Here is a 12,232-nt window from a genome sequence, read left to right as displayed (position 1 = left end):
CTGATTCCTAATGAGCACTGTTTATTTTTTCCACAGTTGACAGATATTTGTTAAGTAAGCAATACTTAAGTTTCACTGGAGATGACAATCAGTTTCCTACATTTTATTTTCCTTTATAAAACCTGGAAAGATGTTTTATTGCTTACTATCCTGCGACAAATTTTATGTTCTCACAATTTCTCAAGTGTTTTCCATACATGACCCCTAGTCACTTTTGCAGATTCTGTCCCGACTCTAAGATATAATTCACTTGAGCTTGTAAAATCAAACTCATTTAATCAGCAGAGAGTGTTTACACTCTCTTGCCGTCTGGAGAACGCAGTTTGTGGTGGATTTGAAACCTGCTTCTAATACTTTTTGTTCAAGGCTTTATAGGTTGCTTACATTTTCTTAGCATTAATTTCCAGAACTTAGTATAATGCTAACAATCTCTATTCTGGCAAGGTTGTTAGGTAGATTAAATAAGGTTTACAAAACAAAAAATAGTGAATTCTAGTTACAAATCTGTCTATTTACTGAAGATAGAGGTAATTGGTTAAATGTTTCAGGCAACAGCAATGATCAGTTATAGAGATTTATTTTTATTATTTTCTTTTTAAAATAAGAATTATGATAGAGTGAAAATAATATTTCCACAAATTATTTTATCTTTAAAAAGTTGTTTGAGCTAGCTAAGTCTTCAATATTCCCATGTGAAAAAAAAAATAGGAGAAATAATCTGACTACAGGGTGTAGCAATGATTAAATGAAAATATCTTCCTTCTGTATCTATCTATCTATCTATCTATCTATCTATCTATCTATCTACCTACTTACTACCTATGTGTGTGTACTAGTTACTGTTAGTTCACTTACCTCCCGCTATCCCCTTGGACTCAGTATTACATAGGTTTTAGTCTTCAAAAAAATTTTTTTTCTTAAGGAGCAATGTCACTGAGCTATTCATAATAACATGCCTATGTACAGGATTTATTAATGCCTAGGATGAAGCAACAATTATCTTGCAAGTATCATTAGGTATGATGAAGAGCATAGTTACAAGGTGATCTGGGTTTCTTTAAAATATTTAGTCTATAAAGCTTTCTACAGTTTTCTTTCCTATGCACTTTATATTTTCAGGGAAAGGTGTGAAGATAAAGAAAAACAAGATAAGTGAGTGCCCATCTCCAAATATCATCATGTTGGGGGTTAAGGCTTGCTATGGCCTGAACAACTGTGTTCTCCAAAAATTTGTATGTTGAAATCCTGTCTCCCAGTGTGATAGTAATAGGAGATGGGGCCTTTGGGAGGTGATTACATCATGAGGCTGGAGCCTCATGAGTGGGATTAGGGCCTTTACAAAAGAGACCCCAGAGAGCTATCTAGTGCCTTCCAACACGTGAAGACAAAGAAAGAAGGGGTCAGCTATGACCAGGAAAGAAGCCTTCCCCAGACACTGACTTTGCTGGAGACTTGATCTTGGACTTCCCAGCCTTCAGAACTGTGGGAAATAAGTTTCTGTTATTTATAAGCTACCCAGTTTATGATATTTTGTTACAACATCCGAAATGGACTGAGACAGTAAGAAAATCTAGCATAGCGCTAGACATGAATTTTTTTTACTTATTTTTTGATTAATTATCAACTGATTGGTTCTTCGACTATAAATGGTAGATAATGTGTATGGTAATTATCATCTTTATGATCATCATTATCATAATTGCTTTTATGAAGCGTACCATGCACTAAGTAATGTTCTAAGCCTTTTATTGAGTATTTCATCAAATCCTTACAAAAACTCTGTGAGTAGCCACTATTATTGTTTTCATTATATAAATGAAGAAACTAAGACCTCATTCAGGTTAAATAAATTGAGTAGGCTCACACTACCAGTAAGGGGTGAAGCCAGGATTTGAATCAAGGCACTCTGACTGCAGAGTTCATGCTTGCCACTATACCAAGGTAGAGGGCATTGCACTGTATAATGGATATGATATGAAACTGAGAGCCATATTGCACATAAAAGAGAAATCAGTATGCTTCAGTTTCCTCACTTACTGTGTGGGAGTAATAACAGCTATTTCTTATTTGCCTCATGAGGCCATTTCAAAGATGAACAGAGTTGCCTAAATTCAAAAGTTGTGAGTTCCATGAAAGAAAATATAAAAATTTGGAGCATAACGGTTTATACCAGCTGTGTTTGTTTAATGGAAGTATTTATTTTTTACTTCATCTAGGGATTCCTCAGAAAATAGACATGCTTTTAGAATTCTTAGAGAACAAAAATAGTCATAATAGTCAATTGGTCAAAAGAGGACAGTATAAAGACGGTAATTTTAATCCTAACAAAATTGAAATTAAACTGCATTATTTATAAATGCTTCTAAATTAATCATATAAAGCAAATATAACTGTGCTAAAAATGCCAGTGAAGATTGCATAAGACATATACATTTAATTCTTGCTTAAGAATGTGTATAGATTAACCCCTTCCTCTCAAATTGCCTATTGAATTTGTCAGGCAAGCAGTTGATGAAAAAATAGCATACTAAAGCAAGATAGTAATTATTTCTGGAATTCATGGATGGCTAATATTAAGTTATTTATTTAGTCAATAATATCATTTATGGTTCTGTTTAAGGTGAAAAACCTATATATGATCACCTCTTAAATGCATCTACATTCCCACTCCACTCTCCACAATTAAGCATATGAGTAATTTAAATATCTTATCCTGATTGAAAGAGGATATCTTTAAGAAGCTAGGAATAGAAAGCAGTTTTCGTAACATGACAAGAAATGTTTTTCTTATACTAACCATCAGCATCATACTTAATGGTGAAAGACTTAAGGCAATCATATTAAAATCAGTAATAAAATAGAAAGCTTATTATTTTGGGAGACAATTTAAAAACATGAAATTATTATTATAACAGATATAGCTTTTGACAAGTGAAAGCACAATTATAATATTTGCAAATAATAGTATTATAGGCCAGGTTTGGTGGTTCATGCCTGTAATCCCTGAACTTTGGGAGGCCGAGGCAGGCAGATCACTTGAGGTCAGGAGTTTGAAATCAGCCTGGCTAAAATGGTGAAACCCCATCTCTACTAAAATGCAAAAATTAGCCAGTTATGGTGGCAGGTGCCTGTAATCCCAGCTACTCAGGAGGCTGAGGCAGGAAAATCGCTTGAACCTGGGAGGTGGAGGTTGCAGTGAGCCATGATAGCACCACTGCCCTCTAGCCTGGGTGACAGAGCAAGACTCCCTCTCAAAAAAAAAAAAAAAAAAAAAAAAAAATGGTAAACTTAACAATAACTGAATCAACTGATAAACTTCTAGAACTAAAATAAAAGTTATTGGATATCAAATACATGTAAAAACACCTATTCTAATAGTTAAGGTTTACCAATAATGACCAGTTAGTACATTTACTATGTTGAAACAAAACAGGTAATGTTTACTACCATTAAAATGAAAATGTAAGATACATAGAAAGAATTTTTATATGAGAAATGCGTGCTTGATATAGACAACCTTAAAACAGTTTACTGTAAGACATAAAATATCTGAAGAGAGAAGAGTGACTAGTGTAAATATAGCAATTCTTTACAAATAGGCTAATTTAATTACAATCAAAATTCCAGTAATTTTGATTGTAATTAAAATTTGTGGAAGAGATTAAAATAGTGCATAAAAGTGTCAGCTGGAAGAATATGTAAGAGCATCTAGTTAATTAGAAGAGAAGAGAAATAAAGGACCTTGCTTTACAGATATGTTAACATAAAATGAAGGTAAGCAGAACATTGTAATAAGAGCTAAAAGGTAAGTAAAACAAAATGGATTATACTGAAACATATCTTAATATGGATGAAATAAATTTGTGTATGTTCAGATACAATAATGTATCAAGGGGAAAAGGAAATATTAATCAGTAAATGTTTCTTTACAGTGGTAATACATATCTGCAGAAAAATTACCTCCCCACACCATAGTAATGAGTGGATATAAAATTAAATCATAAACTTAATAGTAAATACTGTGGGATGTCAATATCAAAATATCTCAGTACAGAAAGCCACATGCCTGGGTAAGATCACCATCTGAATGAATGTAGTTAGAGAAACAAATTGCTCCAAGGATTGAGTCCCAGGAATACCACTATGTAGATTTCAGAGTAATGAAGAAAGCTGAGAAGGAGCCACTATGGAATTTGAACATCTCCAGAATGCCATGGGCTGGAAAGCAAATTGAGCAAAGGGTTTCAAGAAGAATGGGGTGATTCACAGTGGCAAACATGGCTGTTAGATATAGTAAGGTGAACACTGGTGGCTGTAGATTAGCCATTGAATCCAGTATAGAAGAGGAGGTGATAGCCTGTTTTTAGTAATTCAAAGGAGAATGGATGAAGAGAAATTATAGACGGGATAGACAGCTCTCCATTGTATGGAAGGAGAAGAATGAAGTGGTTACTTAGAAAGGAAATGAGTCAGGAGAGTTTGTTTTTGCTTTTAAGATGGAAAAAAAAAGTGACAATATAAGAAGGAGGAGAGATTAGCCAGAGTGATGTCATCAAGCGGGAGAGGGGTAGAATTGAGAACATAGGGGGAAGATGTGATCTTTTCTGGAAACAAGAATAATTCATCCAAAGTAATAGAAAAGAGTCATAATAATTGGGCACAGATGCAGAAAAGTGGGTGCATGCAGTAGTGGGAGCTTGTTACCTCTCTTCTGACAGCTTCTAAATTCTCAATGAAATAAGAGGCAACACCATCAACTGAGGGTAAGGATGGGAGGGGGTGAGAGGAGAGGTTTAGGCTTGAGGATGGAGGGGGAGGTATGAAATAATCACCTAGGAATGTGGAAAAGAAAAAGGATGAGAGAAAAGTGGCATGATTGCAGAGCAGCACAAAGGGTCCATTTGAAGAGAGGGATCATGAATTTAAGGTGAGATTAGATGGCACAATTGTCTTTTTCTACAGCCACGTTCAGCTTAGAAGGTGCAGGTGGCCGGGCGCAGTGGCTTACGCCTGTAGTCCCAGCACTTTGGGAGGCCGAAGGAGGCGAATCATGGATCATGAGGTCAGGAGATCGAGTCCATCCTGGCTAACACAGTGAAACCCCGTCTCTATTAAAAATACAAAAAAAGAAGCCGGGCATGGTGGTGGGCACCTGTAGTTCCAGCTACTCAGGAGGCTGAGGCAGGAGAATGGCTTGAACCTGAGAGGCGGAGCTTGCAGTGAGCTGAGATCGCGTCACTGCACTCCAGCCTGGGTGACAGAGCAAGACTCCGTCTCAAAAAAAAAAAGAAGGTGCAGGTATGGAGGAGATGGTAGGATTCTCACAGTGTTGGAGTTCACTTGAGTAAAAAATAAGTAAAGGAGTAGCCAGGGAAATGAGCGTTGCAAAGCAGTAATACCAATGAAAGATCATGACTATTAAGCTGGTTACTACAGTGAAAGCATGAGATAAGGAACAAGAAAAAAGTGTGTGCATCAATTGTGAGATTACACACATTGAAGTGGAAGTATTTAGAAGAAGTGAACTAGAGAGAAACGACACAGTGGGAAAAAAAAAAAAAAAAACAAAAACCAAACAACAACAAAAAAACGCTTCAAATGGAGACCAGAGAGGCACAAGAAACTGAAAGTGAAGAGTATGGAAGAGTTAAGTTCATGGACATTAAAATCACTAAGAATGATGACAGGAGTAGTGCTAGGGAAAATGACAATTAGACAGGGAAAATCAGCAAGGAATGATGTGGGGTATTTAAAGGTTAGTAGGTGACTTCGACAAGCAGATGGAGAGGGGGCACATAGAGGGAAGCATGAGAGTCAAAGCTGGGTGCTGTAGAGCAGCGTCTCCAATGTTTTTGGCACCAGGGACTGGTTTCATGGAAGGCAATTTTTCCATGGACTAGGATTGGGGGATGGTTTTGTGATGATGCAAGCATGTTATATTTACTGTGCACTTTATTATCTATTATTATTATTACTATCTATTATTATTACATTGTAATATATAATGAAATAATTATACAACTCACCATAACATAGAATCAGTGGAAGCCCTAAGCTTGTTTTCCTGCAACTAGATAGTCCCATCTTGGGGTGATGGGAGACAGTGACAGATCATTGATCATCAGGCATTAGATTCTCAGGAGCGCACAACCTAGATCCCTCACATGTGCAGTTCACAATAGGGTTTGTGCTCCTATGAGAATCTAATGCTGTCTCTGATCTGACAGGAGGTGGAGCTCAGGCAGTACAGTAATACCAGGAATGAGGAGCAGCTGTAAATGCTAATGAAGCTGCGCTTGCTCCTTTGCCTGCTGCTTGCCTCCTGCTGTGTGGTCTGGTTTCTAAAAGGCCACGGACCAATATCCTCCTGTGGCCCAGGGGTTGTGGACCCTGATGTAGAGGAGGATGGATAATATGAAACTGGCAGCGAGGAGCAGGAAAACCTGCCCCCACCTTCAGACTCAGGGGAATGAAGGGAGTGAAAGAAAGTGATGGCGACTGCAGCTGGGCATGGTGGCTCATGCCTGTAATCCCAGCACTTTGGGAGGCCAAGGTGGGTGGATTACCTGAGGTTAGGAGTTCGAGACCAGCCTAGACAACATGGTGAAACCCCGTCTCTACTAAAAATAAAAAAAATATCCAGGTGTGGTGGCGTGAGCCTGTAGTCCCAGCTACTCAGGAGGCTGAGGCATGAGAATCACTTGAACCCGGGAGTCGGAGGTTGCAGTGAGCCAGGATCGCCACTGCCCTCCAGCCTGCACGACAGAGTGAGTCAGCATCTCAGGGGAAAAAAAAAACAAAAAGGTGATGGCTACTCCTTAAGAGGGCTGCCGGGGTAGCAGCATGCAAAGTGAGAGTTGGGTTTCAGTCAGAGCATGATGAAGAGAACACTGAGGGAAGAGGAGGATTCTGCGGGGTATTTTGCCTGTTTTGACCATGAGTTCCACAAGGCTCAGTAGAATGGTTTCAGAAGGTGAGCAGAGGTGGGAGATGGGCTTAACAAAGATGAGCTGTGGGCAGATTACAGCTTGAGGGACAAGTGGTGACAGGGGCAACCTGAATTTCTTACAGTGACTACGATAAAAAGGGTGGAACACATGATTGTTCTGATTGTTCTAATGCAGATGGTGGTAGAGAGTGCAGGGTGCCAGCAGAAACATAAAAAAATAAGAGCTACCTCAATTCTAAGGGAAATGGGTAAATTATGGGACATCCAAACAAAGATCGTAAAGATTTTAAATAATATCTAACAACATAATACAACCTCATGATAGGTAAAAATGTAAAGGACAAGACATAAAACTGCATCCATGGTGTTATATAAATCTTATTCATAAACACATGTAAAAATTGGTGGGAAATACTTAAAACATTAAAATGTTATGTTGCATTTTGGGTGAATTTTTTCTTCTTAATTCTTTTCTGTAATTTCCAAATTTTATAGAAAGTTTATTTATAAGAAAATAATCAGAAAAAAAGGCACACATAATTTTTAAATAGGTATGTCTTCTGGTGCTCTTCTAAGATGCTGCTAAAATTCTATTTCTTGACATGCTCAGTGGTTCTCCCAGTTATTTTTTCCTTACTTTTTAAAATGCAGAATCTGTGAATATCTTTTTCCCTTACATATTTTATTTCACACACACAGTTGCATTCCCTTACAGTTTAGCTGGCCTCTGCATGCAGATGCTGAGCATGTGTAAAGAGGAATGAGCACATGGACCTTGTTCAAGGAAGGCTCAGAGGACTACCTGGCATATCGATGTTTCAGGGTCACACAGGCTGCTGTGTCCATTACATTGACATGGAACACAGGTGCCCAGGGTTGGTCCAGGGGTGCGGCCACCTGGTTGAGAACGCAGTCGATAAAATCCCGGCAAGCATGCCTGAAAGAAAAGGAAGCCAATTAGGACAGCAAAGTTAGAAATACTGCATTAGCAACGCTTGAGCTCTTCAGTGGCTGCAAAGACAGACTGGCCTTCCCCCACCTGCGGCAGGGGCAACATCACTTACAAACGCAAGTGCCGATTTTGATACTTAATGTGTATTTCTTCCTGGTCTCCAAGGTGTTCGGGCGGCATCCATGTGTAATCAGATTTTAACCAAGGAAAGCTTTTATTTGTAGATACAATTCAGCCTGAAAAAGCTCCAAAGAGTATTTTTCTTGAAAAAGATGTTTGTTTTTAAATAACATTGTCATATGGAATAAAGATAATTCCAATGTCTTTAACACCTAAAATCTGCTTTTACTGTGCTTGATGGATAACTAGCAAATGTCCAATGAAACACAGCAAAAAACTAAATAAAAAGTGTTATGGATGCATTATTTATACTGATATAATTTAAAGACTATAAAAGTAAGAAATCCAAAATAATAAAAGCTGTACATGTCTTGCGACTATTAGACCACCAATAAAATTTATCTTTCCCTGATATAATTTTTTTCTTTTTGCAATAAAAATCTGAAAGCAAACAGAAAACTTCTAGTGAAGCTGACATATGCAAAATCAAGACTTCCATCTTCATTTGGGTTTATTATGAAAATGTATCAACAAACATCTCTGGCTTTCTGGAAGGTAGTCCACAGCTCTGGCACGAAGATGAAAACCGTCTTGTGTTTCAGGCTCAGTCCTCTCCTCATGCATAGCTGCAGACATTGCTTGATTTATGAATAAAAGGTAGGAGTCAGTTTTTCAAATCCCATGGAGAATTACAAGGGGACTATTTTACCACCTTGGTTAAGTAGAATTTTTTTTTTTCACTTAAAAATCTTATGCCCATTGATGAAAGAAAAGTGATTGCTGACTAAGCCAGAAAAAATATCAGATTAAGAACTTTCTAGTACCTCCACATCCCTTTGGTTCTGGCCTAGACAGTCCAGAGACAAATATACAAAGAAGCTCCTTAAAAAGATCTAGCTTAATAGCTAGCACCCTCCTTGTTTATTTTGATTTGGATAATGCAAAAGTACTTCAATTAAGCACTTAATCAAGAGACTCTCTGCTTTTATCACAGCCTAAAATAAATTCTAATGAGATTTAATAATGTCCCAACTTTGAGCAAGCTGATAAAACTGAGAATAGTATTCAAACTATTTTGAGTCTTATTTGTCTTATGGTGGACATAATCATATAATTTAATAAAGTTTATACATATTATTTAAAAAGCAAGGTTCATTTTTGCCATTATTATTGAATAAGTCCTGGAAATGATGGTTGAAGAATTAGTTTAAGCATAACTGAAGAAATAAACCAAGATCTATTTAAAAGTGGTTCATAGTGTGGGTTATTCCAATTCTTTAGCAAGCTGACCACTGAATAAAACTGGATTTTCTGTGCATGGATTTCATCCTTGAATATATATATTAATTATATATATATAATATATAAATTATATATTATATATATAAATTATATATATAATATATAAAATATATATAATATATAAATATGTATATAAAATTATATATATATAAAATTGTTGTGTTATTGACATACTTGCTAGGTGCATGCATGTGTGTTACTATGAGAGATAGGACTTTATCTCTGTAATCTCTCTACTAAGTTATTACTGTAATTACTGTCTGTAAAAATTTGTGTAAAAAATCACACAAATTGAGAGGAAGTTTCCTTGAAGCTCAAACAAAAGTTTAAAATAAATCTTAGAAGAAAAAGAAACACAAGAAGTAATACTCCTCATCGAGGAATTGTACAGTTTAGCGTTGTAGGTCCAAATGTGAAGGCGAGCCCTAAGGTGAAGTCTACTCTAACGCACAACACATTTTTCCTATTACTGTGGTTTTCCCCGACAGGCAGCCTGACACAATAGACAAGCGCCCATAGTGGGAGTCTGTGGTCCGGTCCAGCCCTAGAGGAGGTGGAGTCAATTCCTCTGGGGGAGAGTTGAGGCCCGAGTTTGTTTTAAAACTCTTAGAAAAGTCTAACAGACAATTAGAGCGCAGCGTCACTGGCAAGCTCCTTATTCTCTGTTGTGTATGTGTGCATTTAAAAGGGCACATGGAAAAGGCGAGACATGGTGGCTCACGCCTGTAATCCCAGCATTTTGGGAGGCTGAGGTGGCTGGATTACTTGAGGTCAGGAGTTCCAGACCAGCCTGGCCAACATGGTGAAACCATGTCTTGACTAAAAATACAAAAATTAGCCAGGCGTGGTGATGCGTGTCTGTAGTCCCAACTACTCTGGAGGCTGAGGCACGAGCATCGCTTGAACCTGGGAAGTGGAGGTTGCAGTAAGCTGAGATCTGGCCACTGCACTCCAGCCTGAGTGACAAAGCGAGACTCCATCTCAAAAAAATAAATAAATACATAAAAAGTGCATACCACTCCTTGGTACTATAAAAGGAATGAATAGGGAAGCCTTGATTTTATGTTAGTTTTGTCTGAGAGATATGGGCAAGTTACTTTGAGACCCAGTTTCCTCATCCCACAAATGAGTAGGTTAACTCAGATGACTTCTAAAGTGTCTTTCAGTTTTAACATTTTAGATTAGTTTTGATTTATTTCGTATCCTGATGGATTAAATTTCTATGAGGTAGCAAAAGAGAGAGAGAGAGTATTTGACAACGCAAAGATTAGAAACTTAAAACGTGCTGTTTTTTTTAAAAAAAAAAACAGAAATTCTCTCTTTTCCTTGATTATTTTGCACTATTCTTTCAATTTAAATAATTTTTAGGGTGTTTGTCAATATTGAATGTTTTTCCTCTTGGTGAACTGAGACAAAAGTTTGTGAGAATGATTATGTTGGAATTGGAAGCAAAAAAGTTACTTTTTGAGTCCCATCTAAAATCCTTTCTGGAACACAATGGGGAATTAAAGAAAAGCAAATAAATACTTTCCTGAGCTCCTCTTACCCATTTCTACTCTAATTTAAACTTTTCCAAAGTTCTCTTCCCCACTGTTGAAATTATTCATGGCTCAATTTTCTTCTGCTCTCGTCTATCTTTAATTTATTTTCATAATATATTGTTTCATCAAAAAATTAGATTAAATTTACACAAAAATGTGGGAGGGTAGAGAGGAGAGAATGAAGCAGACTGTAGAGACCTATCCTATCCTAGGCTCAGGGCTGCACACTGCGCTCCTTTCTTTCTTCAGAGTTTAGTAATAAAAATAGATGCTTGTGCTGGAGCTCATAAAAACACTCTATCTTGTATCTTTGCATGGATTTTGCAATCAGGCAGACCCGAGTTTAATTCCTGTTTCACCACTTTGTATGTAGTAAGGTTCTGAATACTGTGTGCCTTGGTTTCCTCACCTGGAATGTAGGAATATTGTACAGTCATGTGCTGCTGCATAATGACATTTTGGTCAATGATAGGACCATGTGTACGACAGTGGTCCCATAAGATTATAAAACTATATTTTTAATGTACCTTTGCTATGTTTAAATATGTTTAGATATGCAAATACTTACCATTATGTTACAATTGCCTACTGTATTCAGTACCAATAACATGCTGTGCAGGTCTGTAGCCTAGGAGCAACAGGCTATCCCATGTAGCCTAGGTGTGTAGTAGGCTACACCATTTAGGTTTGTGTATGTACACTCTATGATGTTTGCACAATGAGGAGATCACCTAACGACACATTTCTCAGAACGTATCCCTGTCGTTAAGCAGCACATGACTGCATAATATAATAGTTGAGTACAAGTTTACCTAGGTTTTGGAAACAGATTCATTGAGGTTTGAATTGCTGTGTAGGTGTGTGATCATGGGCCTCAATTCTCTCACCCGTAAAATGGGGATCATAAATTATAGTCGATGATGTTGGTGTAACTGTATTAGGAAGTGTACAGGAGATAGTAAGCACTCAATCAATGGTAGGTTCTGCTTTTCATAGGGTGGATCTGAGGATTACTTGAGATAAAGCATGTTTAATAATTGTCATACATAAATCAATAGGTTTCTCTATCTCAAATAGTTTTTTCTATGTTTGCTGGAAATAAACTAAAAATAAAGATACCATGATTGTTTTAGGTTATATTTGTAAACAAAATTATAACATAACTTACCCATGCCATGTTCCTCAACACTTGTCTGTACATGAAAACAGAGACTTTGGGTCTCTGGTGTGCAACAGAAGTGATAAAGGATAGATGTGTGCATATGTAAGTAGCTAAGACTATTTTCACATTTTGCCTTTTGGGCTTTATGTGTTGACGATAGGTATAAATTATTTGGAGATTTAAAAAAATCAGTTTTAATAGCCACA

The 12,232-nt window shown here is 37.1% G+C and overlaps 1 protein-coding gene across 2 annotated transcripts in view; it reads right to left on the bottom strand.

The window, feature by feature from the left end:
- LAMA2 (laminin subunit alpha 2) overlaps positions 1-12,232 on the bottom strand; it is a 633,429-nt gene that overhangs the window by 180,403 nt on the left and 440,794 nt on the right. For both annotated transcript variants that reach the window (NM_000426.4, NM_001079823.2), the window contains exon 29: positions 7,752-7,886. In NM_000426.4, coding sequence (NP_000417.3) covers positions 7,752-7,886 — 135 coding nt within the window. The remainder of the gene's footprint in view (positions 1-7,751; positions 7,887-12,232) is intronic.

The sequence above is a fragment of the Homo sapiens genome, chromosome 6 (genome assembly GCF_000001405.40).
Source record: "Homo sapiens chromosome 6, GRCh38.p14 Primary Assembly".
Lineage (NCBI taxonomy): Eukaryota > Metazoa > Chordata > Mammalia > Primates > Hominidae > Homo > Homo sapiens.
The sequence above is the reverse complement of the archived record's forward strand: the minus strand, read 5'-3'. Positions and strand labels throughout refer to the sequence as shown.